At 38.0% G+C, this 20,508-nt stretch overlaps 1 annotated feature.

Annotated features, from left to right (window-relative positions):
- Nucleotides 19,228–19,785: an enhancer, noted in NCBI's record as "OCT4-NANOG hESC enhancer chr13:61668018-61668575 (GRCh37/hg19 assembly coordinates)". NCBI's record gives its function as "activates a minimal SCP1, AML or CMV promoter by ChIP-STARR-seq in naive H9 embryonic stem cells {active_cell/tissue: H9 hESC(naive)}" and the evidence as "EXISTENCE:reporter gene assay evidence [ECO:0000049][PMID:30033119]".

Here is a 20,508-nt window from a genome sequence, read left to right as displayed (position 1 = left end):
GTGTTTGTCAGGATCCAAAGTCTAGAGAAGACCAAGGCAGCAGGGGGCTGGCATGTCAGCACCATCCTGAGTGCACACACACCCAGCTGGATCACAACAGTGGCCAGGCTCAGCCACAACTTTGCTTTGCCCCAGAGCGGGTGCCAGGAGCTGGGAGAGGCCAGGGAGTGGGAGCAGGCACTTTTAAGCCTGAGGGGGCAGGGGCTTCCTGGGTCCCCAAGAACACAGAGATGCCTGGGTCCAGAGCCATGGCTGGGTGGCTGCAGCTGTTCCTGGGAGCATGGGGGTCCCACCCACCAACTTAGTAGGGGGCAGGGCCCCTGCCTGTTCCCAGCCACCCCCTAGCTCTGCAGAGCCCGCAGCCCTGACCTTGCCTTCCCCACTGCAGCTGCTGTCCCCGCAGTGGCTGCTCCAGAAGGGCCACTGCTGCTATCACAGTGATCCTGTACCTGCCTACTCCTGTCACCTACAGCCATCAGCAAAGAGTACAAGGCAGATTAATCCAAAGAGAATAGTGGTTAACATGCCATAATGCCAAATCCATTCTTGGCCAAGAGGACATTTACTGAGAGGATAGTCCAACCCCTCAAAATCTTAGGAAGGACTCTAACCTTCCTAAATTGGACCTCAAACCCAAGTTCGCTCAAGCATCCTAGCCTTTTTATTAAGAGGGTCCTTTAACCTACTCTTTCTTAGGAGAGACTCTCACTCCCCTAAGTTGGGCCTCTAACCCAATCCCATTCTTTACTTGGGTACCCCACTACTTTCCCAAAGTCAGCCAACTGGTGCTGCAGTCTATTTCCTTGGGTCAGGGGTCTCTTCAGTACAGTCCCTTCTGGATTCACCAGAAAGATGTTACTGGAAAAGGGTCCCAATCCAGACCCCAAGAGGTTTTTGGATTTTATACAAAAAAGAATTTAGGGCAAGTTCATAAAGCGATAGCAAGTTTATTAAGAAAGTAAGTAATAAAAGAATGGCTACTTCATTGGCAGAGCAGTGGCTTGAGCTGCTTAACCAAGGATATTTATTGTTACTTCATAATTATATGCTAAACAAGGGATGAACTATTCATATTTTTTTAGGTTTTCTATTAGTATTTCCACTTTGTTTATGCATCTTTTTTAAACTTTCTTCACATCTTTTTTAGTTCTTCAAACATCTTTAAGATAGTTTGAAATCACTGTCTAGTAGACATGCATGAGGTCTTTTTAAAAAATAGTTTCTATTGATTTAGTTTTATTTTTCCATTGAATGGGTTATGCTTTTCTGGGTTTTTTTTTTTATGTCTTGTAATTTTTTTAAAAAAATTTGACATTTGAAGCTAATAACATGGTAACTCTGGAAATCAGATTCTCCCGCTTCCACAGGGTTTGCTGTTTTTGTTATCATTATTGTTTTTGTATCATAACTGTTGTAGCCTGTCTCTGCCAGTGATCAGCCTGAGAATAAACTTAAGGTCCTGGTAGGTCCTTTTGGAGCCTGCACCTTTCCCTGAGAATACATGGTCACTTCCTAATTTTTCCCACATATGCAATTGTTTTGTAATGTTTATTCTTTTATGTCTGGCTTCTAAAAGTGGAAAAAGAGAAAAATGAAGGCAGGAAAAAGATACCAGCCCTTTAAGTCATCTGAAAGTCACAACAACCAATGGCGGGAAGGTAGGCGGTATGGACTTGTAATAATGGGAGGAGGAGCAAAGCAAAGGCTTCCCACCTCTTTGTCTGCACCTCTGCGATCAGCAATTAGAGCACAGATCCCCAATATTTGGAAGACAGGGTCCTTTTGTGCCCACCTTGGCATCTGTAAGCTGTGTGTAGGTTGCTCCAGGAACACATGCACAGCTGCCTGCTGTGAATCTGCAGTGGGAAATGGGTGTCAGCTACTGTTCTGGGAGCTGAAATTGACTAAAATTAACTACAATTTACCATTCAAGCCTTTCTCTGGAAGTTTTAAGCCTTTAATAGACTCCAGATTTCCAAAATAGTTACATCAGACAGATTCTGCCAGTGCAATTATTGACTAGGTGGGGAGACAGAGTCCAGAAGCTTCCTCTTCTGTCATCTTCTTTAGCTTAACTTTTAAAGGAATAGACTTATTACATATAATTTAAAATATCCAAAATTACGTTTGCTTTTCTATGGCTAACTTACTAATAAAAAGCAGTATCTGCTGCACATAATAAGTTCACTATAACACCTGATTTGGCACTTACACTATTGCATTGTATTAAAGTGAATTTGTATCATTTAATAATAGTTTCAGCCTAAAGATGAGCATTTGTATAAGGTTTTCAATTGTACAGATAATCAAAAGTGCCTTTGTCTTTCAATATTGTCTTTATCTAACACTGTGGCCATGATAGAAGTATGTCTGCAGAAATTAAGTTGAGGTATAATACCACCTGGAAAATAATTATTAGTTAATTATCAACTTCTAAATGTGTTTCCTTTTAATATTCACATATGGAAGTCTATAATTGCTGTCATTTTGCCACAGATGCCCTATATTTTTTAAAAATCAATTTCAAAATAAGACACAGATGGCCTTTGTTCCGTTAAATCTCTGGTTTCTTTCTCCTTCACTGACCACATAGTCAATAAGCATGAATCACAAAGCTGAGACTTAACATTTTCTTTAATTAGCCTGGGGCAATAATAAATCAAGGATTCATTTCTGGAGATGGCAAACTTCACAGATACAATGCTGTGGGGAGCAGATAGACATCTGTTTCATGGCAGAATGTTGCTAATGTGATCAGTTACACATTAATGCATAATTTGCACTCATTTTTTATGGGTCAGAAGCTTATTGGGTTAACCCCCATTTTTTGTTACTGAAGTTCAGGCTGCTTTAATGTGATTAATACATAACACTCAGGATTTATTCAGGTCAGATGTAAGTGTTGCAATAATTGTTCCACCTCAGCTTCCTGATAGATCTGAAGCAGTGGACAGTCAATTGGACCCAACTCTTGAGCACATCCTGACCATAATATAAATATACACTTTCTTTTTCTTTTGAGTAGCTTGTATAAAAATATTTTTGGATAAATATATTGGCTTTATTTAGATTATTCTTCAATAAGATTTATGAAGAATAGAAACTATGACAGAGATGACAAGTCTCCCAAATTAAGGCGGGGGTCACTATTGAGGTTTCTCTGGAAGAAATTCAGGATCAATATGTCTTTGAGTCTCGACTTTAGGTGGTGTAAGAATAAGGAAGACTAACAACCCTATTGAGAGGGAAGGCAAGGAGAAACATCAAAGAAGAAACAGGTATAAGAATTTTTCTATTGAAATGTTGTGGCATATGATTCTGAACTCCCTCTGATGAACCCTGCAGTCTTCAATAGAATTAACCTCAACAAAATTATTTCACAAATTTGGTAGAAATGCTCTGTGTGTAAATCAGTGGAGAGGCCTAAATATTGGAACAGAATAGGAGCAGAAGCAAAACAGCAGGAGATGGGGGCAAAGGACCATAGGAAAACTACCCTATAGACTACAGCAATGAATGTGGATTATGTTCCAAAAGCAGGTAGGATTTATCATAATCTCTGCATGAGACTCCAGTCAGATTTATAAGTAAGTGTTTAGCATTTGTTTAAATAAAACAGTAAGGACATGACACATAGAATGTATAAATTTTTAGTGGTAAAAAGACACAGAGCCCTATTATGAATAAGTGTAAGAAAAATTTCCATGAATAAAGTATCATCTAGTTGAGACCTGAAATATGAAAAGGAAATACCCAGGTGGAGGATATGTGGAGAGTGCTGGCACACTCCAAAGAAAATGGTTTCTGCTGGCCGGGCACGGTGTCTCACGCCTATAATCCCAGCGGTTTGGGAGGCTGAGGCAGGTGGATCACTTGGGGTCAAGAGTTCAAGACCAGCCTGACCAACGTGGTGAAACCCTGTCTCTACTAAAAATACAAAAATTAGCTGGGCATAGTGGCAGGTGCCTGTAATCCCAGCTACTTGGGAGGCTGAGGCAGGAGAATCGCTTGAACCCAGGAGGCGGAACCTGCAGTGAGCAGAGCACTCCCACCTGGGTGACAGAGCAAGACTTCATCTCAAAAAAAAAAAAAAAAGGTATGTAAAATCCAGGTAGAAGAGAAAATATTCCATATTTAAAGAACTGAAATGACTTCTGATTTACCAGAATTATAGAATATGAGTATATGAATATGAATATAGAATTGTAGAATGTGAAATATAGTATGTTGAGAAATAAAATAGAGAAATATACAAGAGTCAGACCTTTAAAGGCCTTCTACTCTGTACTGAGTTGGGACTTGATCTTGAAGAAAATAGAGGGTTATTAAAGTATTTTCAAAAGGGAATTAATAATAATAGCAGTATCACACTTAGACCCAGAAAAATGGGCCCTGGTTCATGGCTTCTTCTAACTATGACTCTCTTCATAGGGCAAGAAGTCCAAAGGGCCAAGGGCACAGTGCCACCTGGAGCCCATTCTCACCCTTCTATAGCACTCTCTGTGTATATAGTCACCCAGGACACCATACCTAGATAATCCCAAACTGCTCCCATGGTATGTGTGGCCTGTTCCCTGGGTCTGTCCCTTTAAGGGCAGCTCTCAACTGTGGGCTCACCAATAGGCTGGAGTAAAGGGCCCTGAACAGCTGTTTTGGGAAGGATGATCATGGGCAATGATTGGACATACAGGTTGAAGTGTCTCTATGTACGTGCCTGAGGCACCTGGGAGCAATGAATGGAGCTTGAGGGTAGAGATGCTATATTAGTCAGGATTCTCCAGAGAGACAGAACCAATAAGATAGATGACATATAGATGATAGATGATAGATAGATAGATAGACAGATAGACAGATAGATAGATAGATAGATGAGAGGGGGTTATAAGGGGAATTGGCTCATGCGATTATGAACACTGAGAAGTTCCATGACAGGCCAGCTGTAAGCTGGAGACTCTGGGGTGCTGGTGGCATGGTTCAGTCCAAGTACAAACTCCTCAGAACCAGAGAAGCTGAATGTGATATTCTCAGTCCAAGGCCACAGGACTGAGAATCTTGTGGGGATGGGTGGTACATCATGGAATCCAAAGAAAGACCAGAGAGGCTGGAGTTCTGATGTCCAAGGGCAGGGGAAGAAGGGTTTACCAGCTCTTTTTCTTTTCTTTTCTTTTCTTTTTTTTTTTCTGCTTTGTCTGGTACTCCAGTCAATTGGATGGTTCCTGCCCACAATGAGGGTAGATCTCCCCGACTCAATCCACTGACTCACACACCAATCTCTTCTAGAAACATTCTCACAGACACACACAGATATAATGCTTTAGCAGTTCTCTAGGTATTCCTTAATCTGGTCAATTCGACACCTACAATTATCCATCACAGAAGCCATGCACTTCCATTTATGCTCTTGCCTGAGCCTCACTGATTTTAGAACTGGGTCTGATAATTACATTTGTGCTTTAGAAGGATCATGCTGGCTATGTCGCAGAGACTGAAATGGAGGCAAAAAGACTAGTAAAAGCATAACATTTAATTATCTGTCAAAATATCTTAAGAAAGAGTGGATATGGCCTAATCCAGAGTTGTGATAGTAAAAATGGAGATGATATGGTAGAATTTGATGTTTGATTACTGTGAAGGCTGAGATGGAGTGAGAAACTGAAGATGATATCCAGATTTTCAATTCTTACAACTGGGTTGATTGCAGCATATTGTATTTCAATAAATACAATAAGAGACACAATAGTTTACCAGCAGATTATGTTGAATTCAGTTTGTATGCACTTATAATTCCTGTGGGAATTAAGATGGAGATGCCCAATAGAGCATGGATTTTATGATATAAAGAGCTATGTGCTGGAGAAATAAATGTAGAACTTATTAGCAAATAGATAGTAACTGAAGTTCCTGGGGCGAATGAGATCATCTGAGGAGTGATAGGTGAGAAGAGAAGAGAACTGAGGACAGATTTCAAGAGTAAAGCCAGCATTTAAGGGATAAGAATTTGAAAAGGGCTCCATTATTGAGTGTATTGCCAAGGAAGTTAATTAAATAGGCTGAATAAAATGAGTCAATAAAATTAAATGCAGTTTGTGCGTTAATAGCCAATACTACCTCCTAATCCTGGAGGTATAGCCTGCAAAGATTTTCAGCAATTTAAAAATAATGTTTAATTATATACAATACATGAGCCAATGCAGGTAACTCATTTACAAATAATATTCTGTAAATGGGTATTTTTAGGGGTCATAAAAATTTGCCTTATTTATTAATTGTAATTGAAACTGAAGATGATTGGTTATGTGCACTATTATAGAATGTTTTTATTTAATTACATTAAAATTAATTTAATTGACATACTCTTCATTGAGTACCATATGTCAGAGATCATGTTGAGAACATTTTACATAATCCCATTTAATCCTTATGAAACATTTATAAAATAGCTACTGCTTTTCACCTTTTATGAAGGAACAAACTAGAGTTTAGAGAAATGAAGTAACTTGGTCAATATCACAGAGCTCACAAATGACAGAGTTAGAGTTTGAACTTGGGCTGATTAGTATCAAACATGTTAACATTACAAATATATTTTGGTGTCAGAAAAGGAAGTACAAATAAATATATTCTTAGCAGTTGATTTGAATTATCATAATTTATTGTCATAAATAATTTTAGGACATCTGCGTATTGACTTTCTTATCATGTGTTCAGTACTTTAAAAAATGAATCAACTTCGAATTATCTATTTTTGCTACATGATAAATAACTAGAATGGAATCAGTTTTAATTGAAATATTTAAATATCAGTTTATCTTGACACAATATCCAATTCTTGACACCTACACTATTCAAGTTATAAGAAAAAAAAAAATCTCAGTAACTTGAAATCAAGAAAAACACTTTGAATATGTGAAAATTTCTAAATAAACAATATTTAAAATTCAGTTTATTAATAAGATCATATCTAACACATAATCATAAATAATTTTTTTAAGAGTCAGCGTCTCACTCTGTTGCCTGGAATGATGCAGTGGCATGATCACAGCTCCCCATAGCTTTGAACTCTTAAGCTCAAGTAATATTACTACCTCAGGTTCCCAAGTTCCTAGGACTACAGGCATGTACCACTTTGCCTTGCTAATTGTTTTATTTTTTGTAGAGACAGAGTCTCACTATGTTGTCCAAATAGGTCTCTAATTCCTGGTCTCAAGTGATCATCTCACCTCAGCCTCCCGAGTAGCTGGGATTATAGGCATCAGCCATTGTGCCTGGCTACTAATTTTAAACATCATGGACAGATTAGTTCTAGGTAAAGTGACTTAAGTAAAGTAAAATAAAATATATAAAGTAAAATAACTTCAGCTATCTATTGATGACTACCATGCAAAGTGACACTGCTAAGGACTTGAAACATTTTCAGTTAATCCTCTTAAAATTATATGTACACTATAAATTTTTTTAGCAGGATTTTTTCTTTTAGCATAAAAGTAAATTTTAGCATCATTCCTATTCAAATCATTATATATTCATAATTACTGAGGCATAGCTAATGAAATATGGCATTATTCTTAATTACTATAATAACCTGTAAGTATTTCCATATGCTATATTAAATATAAAGATGAACTATCCAAATGACTTTTAGTTAGTCACATTATGAGGCTGGCATGTCATAAAGTTAGGTGTCAACACTGAGGAATGTAAGGAGATGGACAATGTCAATGAAGACATTCAGGAGTCAACCAATAGAAACTTAGACAAGAAATAAAGCATTCGGTAGTGGAAGGAGAGGGAAATATTTACCTTCAGAAAATCAATTCAAAGAGATGCTCCATCTTTTTATAAATACACATTAAACCAATTTTTTTAAGATTTATATATATGCATACATATTAGAAAAAGAAAAAAGGAGACAGCAAAAGAGGGAGAAAGACATTTTTGTGAGGTAAACAAACAGGTAAATCTATCATTTATAAGTATTGATTTTAATAAACATTTTAAACTTCCTCACTATGGTCTATTTTCAGTAACCATTATCAACAATAATGAAACTTTATCAAGTCAGGAGCTCCCAAAATATAAATACTTTATCAAAGTATTTATATTTTAGATACTCCTAGATACTGTATCAATTTTTATACACTGAGTTTCCTATTTGTGAGTTACTCTTTTATTGAGCTTATTTCTCTACTTTTAGATTTATCATATCATTAGTGACTTCATTTCATTTATATACTTTAATATTTTAAGATTCACTAAGATATAGAGAGGAGAGAAAAGAAGTAGTAGCATTAGTATTGTCAAGTTGTCAACAGACTAAAAGAAATAGGTGCATGTTGCCCTGCCTTGAATTATGTGATCTTATGATCACCCTATACTCACAACTACCTATTCATTGAGCTTTTAACGGGTTAGTTGCTAAACCACACCTCAGAACTTTTCTCTCATTTAATCATTCATTCAAAATACTTGAGATCATCTCCTATGTATCAGACACTATATTTTTTGTGCTCAGAGTGCAGAAATAAACAACATAGTCCTTAATCACATTGAACCCATAGTCTACGGGGGGAAAAGTAAAAACCAGTGATTGCAATGTGGTTTGTTAACCATCTCATAAATGTATGCCCAAGTGCTGTGAAAGCAAAGGAAAGAACTGACTTTTGAATTAGCCTATCAGACCTGGGAAATTTTCTCAGAAGAGGTTGATTACTTTTGAGGTAAGTCCCAAAGTCCATCAAGAAGATTCTTCAGCAGAGAAGAGGGGTCAGAATATTCCCTTAAGAAAACATAGCAGGTAGAAGGACGAAGCATTAAGTTAACACCAGGACCCCAAAAACTGGATATTAATTAGAATGGCTTAAGTAGAGATTGCATATGAGACAGTAGAACACAGAGCAAGAAAAAGAGTCAAGAGATTTGATTTGTTCAGTAAAGACATTTGAAAATTATCCTAAAATCTAGAAACCACAGAATAATTTTAAAGAAATTTGTATATTTATCTAACTGGAATCTTGACATGAATAATCTTGCAGTATGTGCTTTGACAAGAGATTTAGGCATCAGATAAGGACACAGATGAATATGCTCTTGCAATAACCTGCATGAGAAAGATGGACCCAAAGTAAGGTAGTTGTAGTGGTGACAGACTTAGAAGGAAATAGGAGTAAAATATTGCATGTAGAGAGGTTATTAAGAGGCCTCTGATTGACATAAGTCGACATAAGAATTCATTGATGTTGAGGTTACAGGTGTAAAATAAAGATAGAAAACATCTTTGGCAAAGTATCTGATGGACTGTGCCTTTGAAATATCAAGTTATTAGTGACCAACAAATAAAGTAGGATACTCAGACTTGAATCTCAAGAGAAAGGTAGAGACAAATATCTCAGAAAAGCAGCATTATATAAGTGATAGGATTTGGCTGAAGTCACCCAAGGAGACCAGGAAGAGTGAGAACAGATGCAAGGACAGTCTCACATTATTTTACTCAGAGGAGGAAACTTTATGAAAATTAAATTTCAGATGTTTTAGAGGATATAAATTCATTTCTTTTCCAAATGTAAAGAACTCAGATCCACATATTAAGCTGTCTATATACACATTTTGAGAAGGAGTCTCACTCTGTCGCCCATGTTGGAGTGCAGTGGCACAATCTCAGCTCATAGGTTGCAACCTCTGCCTCATGGGTTCAAGTGATTCTCCTGACTTATCCTTCCAAGTAGATGGGACCACAGGTGCATGCCATCATGCCCAGCTATTTTTTTTTTTTTCATATTTTTAGTAGAGACGGAGTTTTACCATGTTGGCCAGGCTGCTCTCAAACTCCTAACCTCAGGTGATCTGCCCATCGTGGCCTCTCAAAGTGCTGGGATTACAGGCATGAACCACTGCCCCTGGCTGTAAAATCATCTTTTAATCTAATCTTCACATCATGTTCAGAGCCAGGTTCATCTTGAAGCAAATGAAATTTACTTGCATAGGTTCCTTCCAAGGCCCAGAAAAGGGCCACCAATGTGTTCACAGTCATGTGACTTTTTAAAAGTTTGCAAAAGATATTTTAACTGCAGTTGGTTAAGAACACTGTCTTTTTTGCTATTCAACTCCTCCTGTTGTTAGATGGCACAGCATACCTTTGGGCCTTTGGGGATATAGCTAAGGAGAAGTTAAGTTGGAGTACATTTAGTTTGAGTTTAGTGGGAAATACTGATGAGATTCAGTCACTTCTGTGCATAACTAGATAACTGCTACCTGTTTCAGTATAGGAATGACTTCTAGAAATACTCTTCTACCCACTGACATAAAGTGCTGCAGAAATGAAATCCCATTATGATATGAGCAGGTCCTATGACACACCAACCTGTGAGTTGGGGAATGGAATCTGTTTGTAAAATGTTAGGAACCAGAATGTGTGTAAAATTCACCTAAATCATACTCACATATTGAAAAAAAAACCTTAAAGTCTTTCCCAATTTTGGAAAACAATTCTAGAAATTGCATGATAGTTTCAGTAATAAGTTATAATACTAAAAGGAATGCTAATAAGTTATAAAAATATATTTTCATCAAATACACTAGAGAAAAATATTTTTTTCTTCTCTTTTATAGAAAGATATGATAAAACCATTGTAATATGAAGAGTTGATCAAGAGCATGCAGCCAAATGTGAGGCAGGTGTTGGGGTGGTTATAAGGGGGCATTGTAATTTAGTAAATACCATACAAATTTTCTGGATTTCTATGATGTTAGCAGTTTCCACTAACATTTTAAAATGCAATGTTATTTTATATTTATTTTCTCATTTTAGATAAATGCTCACTTATGTACCTAATGGTGCATTTATAATTTTACATTAGTTTGTTAAAAAGAACCTCAAATTGTATAAAGCCTGTCTCAGTAAAACCTAGTTTTTCCCTGATAATGTTCTTGTCACTGCCATAGAGAAAGAAAAATAGTTAGAAAATATTTCTTTAATATGCACTATACTATTGTTGAAAAAAATAGAGAAAACATTATTGAATACTATTTATATTCATTAAAATTATATATAGATGCTTGACTGATAGTTCAGTTCTTTAAAATGATGTTTGGTCTACCACTTAACATCTTAACATCATGATAGGTAACACTTTAAAACATCATTGTCATACAACAAATTTACATCAATTTTAGAATGTTATAATCTATACATCGACTTAAAGACATGTAGGTCTATTTTACACTTTTTGAACAATTATTATCTACCATTTTGGCAAAGTACATAATTTAATAGTATAGTGTATATTCAGTTTATTCCTTAAACAGAGAGAACATGTTAATGTTGAATTTAAAGTTCTTGAAAAAAATGATTATATATTTTTAAAAATTGTCCATGTATAATGGTAGCTGCAAAAAAAAATTAGCTTTTGTTTTATTCCACAAGAATATCATACTGACCTACAAAATTACAGCTAGACCCACTCTTAGGTATCTTTGGAGCACAAAAGGGCCAAAAATCCATAAAAATTACTGTTCTAATAAGTTAAGCATATTCCCTGTAGGTACTGATATTTAGAGATGAATAAGAGAAAAAAAAATTTCTAAAATGTCAGTTGTGCAGTTTGGGCTAACCTGAAGCATTTCAAAATTGCAAAATACTCATAGGCAGACAATAGGAGAAGCTTTGCATTCATAGTAGAATCGAGGGATGGATTTCTGAAAGCTAACCACTTTTATAAAACTTCTACATATATGCAGTGAATTAGACATACACATTTTTGTTTTGAAGTCATTTGTAGTCTCATTTATCAGGATCAACATTTTAAACTGTATATTTATAACTTATAAGTTTTCCTTATCTCTAATATGGGAATTTATAGTCCTTAAAGAAGGGAATAAGTAAATTTTCCATATTATTTAAATCTGGAAATGCATGCCAGATTACTTTCACAGAAATGTTTCCAGTATCTAAACTAATTATACATGTTTAGCTCTTCATAAAAAATACACAAGGAGGAATTTCACTGAAATTTCTTCAGTGTGATCATGTGTATAATGTGCAATTGACTTCATTTCACACTACCTCTATCTTTCTTAAGTTCTCTGTCTTTATTCTCCTCCAACATTTCATTAAAATAGCCATTTGGACTTATATAAAAATCAACACATCCAGTGACACAGAGAAATATGAGTAAAAGTTGATCATATCCAGTATGGAGGTGGAAAAGTGTGATATCTTTTCTCACCTATCATATGTATCACCATCCACACACCTATAACAAAAGACAGGTTAACAAGAGAAAAGCATAACACATTTATTTAATCAAAGTTTTACATGGCACAGGAGCCTTCAGAAATGAAAACTCAAAGATTCAGCAAAAAACTGAATAATTTTTCAATTATTTTTTATAATATATGCTTAGGTTAGAAGAAGAATGGACAGCTGTGGAGAAATGTGAGTGGACAAAAGGGTACCGTATTAGTCCATTTTCATGCCGCTGATAAAGAGATACCTGAGACTGGGCAGTTTACAAGGGAAAATGGTTTAATGGAGAACCTACAGTTACACGTGGCTGGGAAAGCATCACAATCATGGCAGAAAGTGAAAGGCATGTCTCACATGGCAACAGACAGGAGAAGGGGGCTTGTGCAGGAAATATCCCCCTTAAAATAACCATCAGATCTCATGAGACTTACTGTCATGAGAACAGCACAGGAAAGACCTGCCCCCATAATTCAATTACCTCCCATCCAGCCCCTCCCACAACACATGAGAATTCAAGATGAGATTTGGGTGGGGACACAGCCAAACTATATCATTCTGCCCCTGGCTCCTCCCAAATCTTATGTCCTCACATTTTAAAACCAATCATGCCTTCCCAACAGTCCCCCAAAGTCTTAACTCATTTCAGCATTAATTCAAAAGTCCACAGTCCAAAGTCTCATCTGAGACAAGGCAAGTCCCTTCTACCTTTGAGCCTGTAGAATCAAATGCAAGTTAGTTACTTCCTAGACATAATTGGGGTACAGGCGTTGGACAAATATAGCCACTCCAAATGGGGGAAATTGGTCAAAACAAAGGGGTTACAGGTCTCATGCAAGTCCAAAATCCAGCAAGGCAGTCAAATCTTAGAGCTCCAAAATGATCTCCTTTGACTCCATGTCTCACATCCAGGCCATGCTAAAGCAAGAGGTAGGTTCCCATGGTCTTGGGCAGCTCTGCCCCTGTGGCTTTGCAGGATACAGCCTCCCTTCTGGCTGCTTTCACAGACTGGCATTGAGTGTCTGTGGCTTTTCCGGTTGCACAGTGCAAGCTGCCAGTAGATCTACCAGTCTACGGTCTGGAGGACTGTGACCCTCTGCTCACAGCTCCACTAGGCGGTGCCCCAGTAGGGACTCTGTGTTGGACTTCAACTCCACATTTCCCTTCTGTACTGCTCTAACAGAGGTTCTCAATGAGATCCCCTCCCCTGCTACAAATTTCTGCCTTGAGCATCCAGGAGTTTCCATACATCCTCTGAAATCTAGGCAGAGGTTCCCAAACCTCAGTTCTTGACTTCTGTGCACCCTCAGGCTCAACACCACATGGAAGCTGCCAAGGCTTGGGGTTTCCACCCTGTGAAGCAGTAGCTTAAGTTGTACTTTGCCCCCTTTCAGTCACGGCTAGAGTGGCTGGGACACAGGGCACCAAGTCCCTAGACTGCACACAGCACGGGTCCGGACCCTGGGACCAGGCCACAAAACCATTTTCTCCTAGGCCTCTGGGCCAGTGATGACAGGGGCTGCCATGAAGACCTCTGACATGCTCTGGAGACATTTTTCGCATTTTCTTGGTGACTAACATTCAGCTCCTTGTTACTTGTGCAAATTTCTGCACTGGCTTGAATTTTTCCTCAGAAAATGGGTTTTCCTTTTCTACCATGTTGTCAGGCTGCAAATTTTCCAAATTTTTATGCTCTGCTTCTCTTATAAAGCTGAATGCCTTTAACAGCACCAAAGTAACCTCTGGAATGCTTTTCTTCCTAGAAATTTCTTCCGCCAGACACCCTAAATCATCTCTCTCAAGTTCAAAGTTCCACAAATCTCTAGGGCAGGGTCAAAATGCTGCTGGTCTCTTTGCTAAAACATAACAGGAGTTACCTTTGTTCCAGTTCCCAACAAGTTCCTCATCTCTATCTGAGACCACCTCAGCCCAGACCTTATTGTTCATATTGCTATCAGGCTTTTAGTCTAAGCCATTCAACAAGTCTCTAGGAAGGTCCAAACTTTCCCAAATCTTCTTGTCTTCTTCTGAGCCCTCTAAACTATTCCAACCTCTGCCCATTACCCAGTTCCAAAGTCGCTTCCACATTTTCAGGTATCTTTTCAGCAGTGCCCCACTCTAGTGGTACCAATTTACTGTATTAGTTCGTTTTCATGCTGCTGATAAAGATACAGGGGCCACACTCGGTGGCTCATGCCTGTAATCCGAGCACTTTGAGAGGCTGAGACGGGCAGATCACCTGAGGTCAGGAGTTTGAGACCAGCCTGGGCAACATGGTAAAACCTGTCTCTACTAAAAATACCAAAATTAGCCAGGCGTGGTGGCAGGCGCCTGTAATCCCAGCTAATTGGAAGGCTGAGGCAGGAGATTCACTTGAACCTGGGAGGTGGAGGTTGCAGTAAGGCGAGATCACGCAACTGCACACCAGCCTGAGTGACAGAGTGAGACTCCATCTCAAAACAACAACAACAAAAAAAAAAAAAGAAAGAAAAAAAAGATATACCCAAGACTGGGCAGTTTAAAAGGGAAAGAGGTTTAATGGAGAACTCACAGTTCCACATGGCTGGGGAAGCCTTGCAATCATGGGGGAAGGTTAAAGGCACGTCTTGCATGGTGGCAGGCAAGAGAAGGGGCTTATGCAGGAAAACTTCCCCTTATAATAACCATCAAATCTCCTGAGACTTACTCACTATCATGAGAACAGCACAGGAAATACCTGCCCCCATGATTCAATTACTTCCCACTGGATATCCCCCACAACACGTGGGAATTCAAGATGACATTTGGGTGGGGACACAGCCAAACCATGTCAGGTATGAACTAATGGTAACAGACTGAGGGGGAAGCCCAGCAAGTCCTGTCTGTTCAGATTCTTCTTGGCCTGTCTATGTCATATTCCTTCTTCCAGTGTATAGGGCAAGAACCTTCTGAAATGAGGGTCTTCAAGTGAGAAGGGAAAATGGATAAAATGGTCTTTCTAGGTTTTATGTCTTGCTCTGGGGGAGAAGAGTTCTAATTTTTATGACCCATCTTGAGGAATAAGAATTCTGGTTTCTATGACTTGCACTGCAGGAGAAAGAGGGATGGAAAACAGGAGGGTGGAAGAAAGTCAGAAAGACTGTTTCTGAGATGGTTCCAATGTCTTTTACTTCAAAGTATACAGCAAGCCAAAGTGTCACACTTTGGAATATCATGTTCTGAGCCTCAACACCAGAATCTGGGAGGAGTTTATACAAACTCTGATACCAGTAAATTGGATTTAAAAAAATCAAACTAGTGGCTTGTTCTTTTTCACATCATGACTCTTACTCTAAATGTCTTATGTGGAAGATTAAAGTATTGTTTCCTTAAATATTTACCTATATTGTTTATTCACATGCAACACCTTGCCATGCTTCAAATCTATTCTAACTTAATTATGAAAGAAAAAAGGAATGTCAGCCTACATGTGGTTTCTCAGTAAATGTCATTTAAGTTTTGCAACTAAACTTAATATAAGTATTAATCCTTGGACTACAAATAAAATAACGGTTCAGCTTCTAATCTAAGGCATTGTTTAATTGATCATGGTAACGCTACTACTTAAGTTCTTACATTTGCTAAATTACATCTTGAAATGAAACTCTCATTTCTCTTACAGATCAAATAGAATTATTTTTTACTGGATGATTAATTATGGTTATTGTGCTTATAGTAAATAAGAAACTGCCTGAAGCTTTAGCTAATATTCTCCCCTAAACCTATTGATTAACAATTTACTTGTCTTGGCTACCAACAATTAAATTTCAATCATTCTACAGTTGGCTTAAAGCTATTTTCTCTAATAAAGTATATATGGACTATTTGGCCAGGTAGAGTTTTAAAAAGTTTAAGAATATTCTTTATAAAAATATAGAAGAAAGTAATAGAAAGGAAAGAAATAAACTCCAAAGGCTTCATCTTGATGTTTGTAGCAAGAAAATAACTCAGGATTTCACAAAAGATGAACTAAATTGGCATCCGGCCATTTTAATACACTTCTGTATTAGCCTGACCCTATCTGTACACATTGATTGGAACATTTGGTGTATGTTCCTTACAAATGGTTCACAGTAAATGACCCTGCAGTGCAACAGACATTTCAAGACAAATTTAGAGCTTACAGGTCTTTCGTTGTTGAAAGAAAAGAGATTATCCAGAACTAATGAGGTGGCTATGACATTCAGCAGATGAAGAAAAAATGAAAGATAGAAAAGAAAGAGAAAAAGAAATGCAAGAGAATTGTCAAATCTTCCTCCTCCATGAGTTAAGATTGATTTAGATTCCAAAAATAATTTATCCAATCACTGCTGTGGAAAATGTAACAATCAAATATATTCATTTGTATAAATATCAGAGAATTACATAACAACTAATCAAGCAACTAAAAAAATCATGTTGGAAAGTAACAGTGAACAACTAAAAATGGGAGAACAGGTATATTTTCATTCAGGCTAAAAAAGTGTTAAAAAAAAAACAAGCCAATGAAAGTATCCTTAGATAAAAGTGAATATCTGACTGTATAGAAACCCTCAAAATTATGACATGTGCTTTGTTGCAAAGATGCTGGCCTCAATAATTATAGTGAGTGTTCCCCGAGTTGACTTGTCCCCACTCTAATTTCTAAAGAAAAAAATGTGTATCATGATGAGCCTAAGAACAGTTGAGGAGTACAGATGTCACTGAATCAACCACCAGTAGTGTAAATTAAATGTCATGTTTAGTTTGGGTTTTCATGAAGGGCAATGTTGTGGTTACAAGGAAAAATGGCTTTGTTTTGTTGGTTTTACATGTCATTGTACTCGTAAGAGACTATGTCCTTCTCTAAATCCAGATGTTAGCAATCAAAATACTTTTCAAAACATCTGAGTCTACAGAGGCTGATTTGAGCACATCCGGAGAATTGGGCTCCAAAAATATTAAAAGTAAACAGGGACATAAATTGTATGGATATATTATTCTAAATATTCCCATCTTTTCTCTGTTGCAAGTTTGTGAATGTGGGTGGAATGGGCTTATTAATGGATAGAATGGGTTTGTAGGGGTGGAGAGGTTTGACATGTTTCCTTACCCATCATAAGGGATATAACTGACACTCCAGCAACAATAGATAAGTTAACAAGAGAAAAGTATGAGAGATTATATTTAATTAAAGTTTTATGTTATATGAGAATCTTCAGAAATAAAAGCCCAAATACCTAAGAGAAAACTCTCCATTTTTATGCTTAGACTAAATGAAGGGTGAACAGCCATGTAGAAATGTGGTTGGACAATAAGTGAATGATGTATTAGTAATAGACTGAGTGGGAAAACCCAGCAAGGCCTGTCAAGATTTGTCTTGGCCTCTCTGTGTGGCAATCCTTTTTTCCTAGGTGCAGGGCAGGACCCCTTGTGTAATGAGGATCTTATGGTCTACTTTCAGACAAGGTATGTCAGAGAATTTCTTTATGGCCAGTTTTTAGACAGAAAGGTAGAGGAATATTAGAGTAATAATTCTAGTTTTTATGGCTGGGTTTGGGAAAAGGAGTTTCTAGTTTCTATAAAACTCTTTCCCACAATCAGGAAGAGGAATTTTGATTTCTATGACTCACTTTAGGGAAAATGATGGACAAGAGACAGGAGGGCAGAAGAAGCTGAAAGAGGCTGGTTCTGAGGCTGCTTCTGAGCCTCTGTAATGTCCTTTAGTTCAAAGTACTCTGCATGCTGAAAAGCCATATTTTGGGATATTATTTTCTGAGCCCCAAAAGGCTAAATATTTTTAAAGGCTAGAAAATATTCCTTCAAATGTCCTAGTTGATTTCATGGAAGTAAGTTAGAAAATACTAACATGAAACACTAACTATACTATTGCATTTAATGCAATATGGCCACATTTTTCTCTTACATTTATGAGAACCATATACTACCACACTGAGGTATATAGAACCTTTCCTCTGTCTTCTGGGCCACTGACCTCTGCCACAAACCCTAATGCCATTCCCACACTGATTAATTTAGGTCATGCATTTCAAAATAAGTTTGTTCCAAACCATCCACATCTGGAAAAGTTCCCCCATTAATCAGGGACTTAGAGGGAACAAAGAAAAAACTGCCCCTTTGCACTCTGAAGGTTTGCTGAAAAATCAATTCACAAAAGGAGATTAATTGCAGAAAAAAGCATAAAAATTAATTAATGTCACATAGAAGTGGGACCAGAGAGTGATTACCCTCAACTCTCAATGGGTTACAGAAGCTTTTATACCATCTTGAAGTTACAGAAAGAATGGGAGCTAGGAGCATGGCCCAAAACAGGTTATGGTGGTAAATCAGGTTATGGTGGCAAAACAGGTTATGGGAGGGAAAGAAGAGGAGGCCTATCTGGGAAAGGTGGTCTTGTTATGTAAATGAAACATCACAGGCAGCAGACCTCAAAGAGAATAGATGGTAAATGTTTCTTTCAGACCTTTAAAGATGAAAGACTCTCAGTTAATCTTTTCTAAAGTGTCAACATGACTAGGCTGCAGTTCCAATTAATTCAAAAAAGCACTGATCTAGGTGTTGCTGTGGGGATATTTTACAGATTTAATTAAGCCCTAGTAAGTTGACTAAGGTAAGGGGCTTATCCTGGATAATCAGCTGGAAGTCCTTAAAAGCAGAACTGAGTTTTTCTCAAGGGAAGAAGAAACTCCTGCCAACTCTTGGCTCTACTTCTATGGTTGACCCTGACTGACAGAGAAGGAATGGATACTACCTCTGCCACTTAACTACATATATGTGATCTTTGGGCAAGTCACTTATTGACTTTATGCAAAATGTATAAAACGCAAAACAATAGAGCGCAGCTCACAGCATTGTTGATATAAAATGTAATATAAAACATTTAACACAAGGCTTAGTATATACAGTTGACCCTTGAACAATGTGGGCACCTACCCCCCATGCAGTCAATAATTCATGCACAACTGTTGATTCCCAAAAACCTAAGTACTAATTTTCATGTGCGTCCGTGTGAAGAGACCACCAAACAGGCTTTGTGTGAGCAACAAGGCTGTTTATTTCACCTGGGTGCAGGTGGGCTGAGTCCGAAAAGAGAGTCAGCGAAGGGAGATAAGGGTGGGGCCCTTTTATAGTATTTGGGTAGATAAAGGAAAATTACAGTCAAAGGGGGTTGTTCTCTGGCGGGCAGAGTGGGGGTCACAAGGTGCTCAATAGGGGAGCTTTTGAGCCAGGATGAGCCAGGAGAAGGAATTTCACAAGACAATGTCATCAGTTAAGGCAGGAACAGGCCATTTTCACTTCTTTTGTGGTGGAATGTCATCAGTTAAGGCAGGAACCGGCCATCTGGATGTGTACGTGCAGGTCACAGGGGATATGATGGCTTAGCTTGGGCTCAGAGGCCTGACATTCCTGTCTTCTTATATTAATAAGAAAAATAAAACGAAACAGTGGTAAAGTGTTGGGAAGGTGAAAATGTTTTGGGGGTGGTATGGAGAGATAATGGGCGATGTTTCTCAGGGCTGCTTCGAGCAGGATTTAGGGGCGGCGTGGGAACCTAGAGTGGGAGAGATTAAGCTGAAGGAAGATTTTGTGGTAAGGGGTGATATCGTGGGGTTGTTAGAAGAAATATTTGTCATTTAGAATTATTGGTGATGGCCTGGATACAGTTCTGTATGAATTGAAAAACTAAACAGCATAAGAGAAGGAGAAAAACAGGTATCAAAGGACTAAGAATTGGGAGGCCCCAGGACATCTAATTAGAGAGTGCCTAAGGAGGTTCAGCATAGCCTTGCCAGCAAAGATTATTTATTTACTTTAAGAGTTAAGAGTGGCAGTTTGGGGATAGCACCAGGAGATATCAGCTGTGATGGCTTGGAGAAACAGTGTAAACTGGCAGTGTAAACAAGAGCAGGGCATGTATGAGTAGTTGAGAACAGTGAATAGGAGTATGACTAGACAGAAGATAGGGATGACAAGTTTTTTGGGGCACGGTCCAAGTTGGTCTGGTGTCTGGAATGAGACTGGGGCCTAATAAAAAGGAGCGTCTATACAGGAGCTCAAATGGGCTGTACCTTGTAGCATTCCAAGGACAGACCTGAATTCTGAGAAGGGAAAGTGGTAAAAGTATTGTCCAGTTCTTTTTAAGTTGGTGGCTTGGTGAGGTGTGTTTTTAGAAGACTATTAGTCCGTTCTACCTTTCCTGAAGACTGAGAACTGTAAGGGATATAAAGGTTTCACTGAATACTAAGAGCCTGAAAAAATGCTTGGCTGATTTG

Source organism: Homo sapiens, chromosome 13 (genome assembly GCF_000001405.40).
Source record: "Homo sapiens chromosome 13, GRCh38.p14 Primary Assembly".
NCBI lineage: Eukaryota > Metazoa > Chordata > Mammalia > Primates > Hominidae > Homo > Homo sapiens.
This window is presented reverse-complemented; position numbering and strand designations above follow the sequence as displayed.